At 41.6% G+C, this 2,330-nt stretch overlaps 1 annotated feature.

Annotated features, from left to right (window-relative positions):
- Window positions 1,539-2,330: an enhancer, noted in NCBI's record as "NANOG hESC enhancer chr10:113265858-113266649 (GRCh37/hg19 assembly coordinates)". NCBI's record gives its function as "activates a minimal SCP1, AML or CMV promoter by ChIP-STARR-seq in primed H9 embryonic stem cells {active_cell/tissue: H9 hESC(primed)}" and the evidence as "EXISTENCE:reporter gene assay evidence [ECO:0000049][PMID:30033119]".

Raw genomic sequence — 2,330 nt, 5'->3', positions numbered from 1 at the left:
GTCACAAATGGGCCCAACATGATGGTCTCACACAAACACATCCCACAATTCATTCTTATGACACTTTGTATCTATCCTGTACTGCCCTTACCATAATTATAATTAAAATTAAGCCTTATCCCTTTCCCCAAATGGAGACTGAGGGGGAAAGAGCTCTTTCTAGAGTAGACATTTGCAGTTTCTCTTTGCGTAATTGAGGGAGCCTTGATGAAGGGGCATATGGTCTCTTTCTTATGCCGGTAGGCCCCCTATGTCTCAATCTGGAAGGAGGAAGGAATAATAATTGGACTTACTTTGTGGAAAAGGAAGGGCTCTGCAGCTCACAGGCACTAGAGTATCTACATTTTTCCTCTTACGGCTTAAGAATCTGCTTTCTCTGAGAACTAATAATGTCTTCAGAGATGGGAGTATGTGCACACACTAACAGGTACCATGAATTAAACAGATGTACCTGTAAATCATTCTGTCAGAAAAACCAAGCAGGAAGATATACCTGCCCCCACCTAAGCCTGTGAGATTTGGAGCTCCAAATTCCCTTCCCATGCTGGAATACCAACAGGTATCTCCACTTATGCTGCCAAATTTCTAGGAAACCAGTCCTGATGCAAGGACCCAGATTTGGGAAGTTGTCCAATGGCAGGATAAGAGAGTGAGAATGGGGCTGTTGATCACCTCACATCAAGAGGGGTGGCACTTTACACAGGAAAAGATACAGGAAGAGTGAGTATTTAAGGGCAGAGAAACTGGGAGAAGAATGAGAGCCTCTATATAAAAGCTACTTTCTCACTGAGTTTTGGAAAAGTTGTATTTAGCACATAGCTTTGTATTTTTCTTTCCTATGTTGTCTTTTCCTTTTTGAAAAGTATATATTTTATTAGAAACAACACACATTCCAGCACATGTATATCTAAGTGGACAACTCAATGGATTTCTTAATATGAACACACCTCTGCAACTCCAACTCCCAGGTTAAGTCAGAGACTGTCTTCATAACACCTGTAAGTTACTACTCATCCCTCCTTAAACTCAACCACTGCCCTGGTTTCCTGATAAGACAGAGAAGTTCATGCAAGCCATGTTCCCATGAAGAACAAGAAAAACTTGATAAGTTTCAAAAGGTATATATGTAAAGGCATTAGAGTGCTGCAGAAACAATGAAGACTAGCAGCAGTGAAATTCTATGGGGGAAAGCACTGCAGAGGTGAGCTAGGATTTAGCTGCCCTTTGCCAATTCTGGGCATGAGCCAGAGGCTGAAAATTTGGGCTTGGCCCAGGCAGAGCAATGATGCTAGGGCAAGAGCTAAGAAAGTGATACAATAAGGCTTGGAGCAGATGCACAGGGATGCAGTGACTTAAACGGGAAATGGAATGGCTTCAAACTGAGAACATTTTCTCTTAGGACATTTGCTAAATGTTGAAGCTGCTTGAAGCAGAAGGAGAAAGGACTATGACCTGTATACTAAAAATAAAACTCTAAGCCCCTAAACTGACTGAATGGACCCCCTCTTGGCCAAGAGGATCTGAAAGAAACTGGAAAAACTAGTTCAGGCCATGATGGGAAAGGGGGTCAGACATGCCTCATTATACCCTCCTCCCTTTGGAGTTAAGAGGTAACTGACAAGCATTAACATTAAAACAGAGCTCTTAAGCCTGGCAAAATAGACTCTATGTAGCAATAAGATACCAAATTCCAACCTGATTCTGGTATAGCATCACATGACAGAGAGCAAGCACAGAAGGAAATCAAAGTATTTTACCCCAAAATGTTTTTCCTTGATATATTTTGAATGGTCGTGCAAAGTGTCTCTGGTGGGGGAAATTTGCATTCTATAGAGAATCTCGTCATTACTAGGTCTTTTCTGAAGAGTCTGACATCTTTTAAGGCTTGGAAAGCAATCTCTTTCTCTAAAGCTTGCTACCTGAAGGCTTCATTTACATGACAAGAACCTTGGCTTCCCCCTGTCTCTGCCCCACCTTACCTTAACTCAAGCATCTCTTTATGCTGACTTCAACTCTTCAGGCAGAGTTTAACTCTTTCAACTAGCTGCCAATCAGGAAATCTTTGAATCCACCTATGACCTGGGAGCCCCTGCTCAGAGACGTCCCTTTTTCTGGGCCAAACCAGTGTATACTTTTCATTTATTGATTTATGTCTTTACCTATAACTTCCATTTCCCTAAAATGTATAAAATCAAGCTGTAACTAAACCACCTTGGACACATGTTCTCAGGACCTCCTGAGGTTGTGTCATAGGACATGGTTCTCAACCTTGGCAAAATAAACCTCTAAATTGATTGGGACCTGTCTCAAATTCTTTTTGGTTAACAATC

The sequence above is a fragment of the Homo sapiens genome, chromosome 10 (genome assembly GCF_000001405.40).
Source record: "Homo sapiens chromosome 10, GRCh38.p14 Primary Assembly".
In the NCBI taxonomy this organism is placed as follows: domain Eukaryota; kingdom Metazoa; phylum Chordata; class Mammalia; order Primates; family Hominidae; genus Homo; species Homo sapiens.
This window is presented reverse-complemented; position numbering and strand designations above follow the sequence as displayed.